This window comes from Homo sapiens, chromosome 4 (genome assembly GCF_000001405.40).
Source record: "Homo sapiens chromosome 4, GRCh38.p14 Primary Assembly".
Lineage (NCBI taxonomy): Eukaryota > Metazoa > Chordata > Mammalia > Primates > Hominidae > Homo > Homo sapiens.
The window spans coordinates 12,222,774-12,223,450 of NC_000004.12; positions in this window are offsets into that span (position 1 = coordinate 12,222,774).

The following is a 677-nucleotide window of genomic DNA, read 5'->3' on the forward strand; positions in this document are numbered from 1 at the left end:
AGGAGAAACCAGTATGAGAGATGACATTCCAGAGCAGATATTCAATGGATGAATTAGTATTTTTGGCTTCAAATGTAGAATACACAAATGGCAAGAAGCTGGGAACTACTGGAAATATTTATGAGAACTAACTTGTTTGGTATGTACTATGTACCCTGGGCCTTTCTTTTCTTCATGTAACAAAAGGGACATTCCATTTTCCCTGACAGTAGTTTTGGCAGCTTCATTGACAGCACTGTCATCATTAGATAATTAGAATTGTAAGCCTTTACTTTTCTCCATTTTCTATACAGGATTTACTATACTTCCAGGCTCGTCTTCTTTCGATGTATGGAAGGTGAATCACGTGAAAAGCATACTATGAATTGTTAATGTAAATAGTTTAGAAGTAGTAATCATAGAATAGAATGTAACATTTGCCAAATGCTTATTCTATGCCATGCCCTTGATTGTCTTATTTGGGTTCCCCTAGAAGCAGGCGCTCAAACAAGGATTTGAGTACAAGTCGTTTAATAAAGAGATGATTCCAAGAAATGTAAGTATTGGAATAGGAAAATAAGACAATAGGTAAAAAGGCTACGGAAGGTAGATTGTCAGACAATTACTACAGTGGGCCTGCTTTCCCTGAGGGAACCTGAAACAAAGTATAAGATATGACCCTTACAGGCATCCTGCCT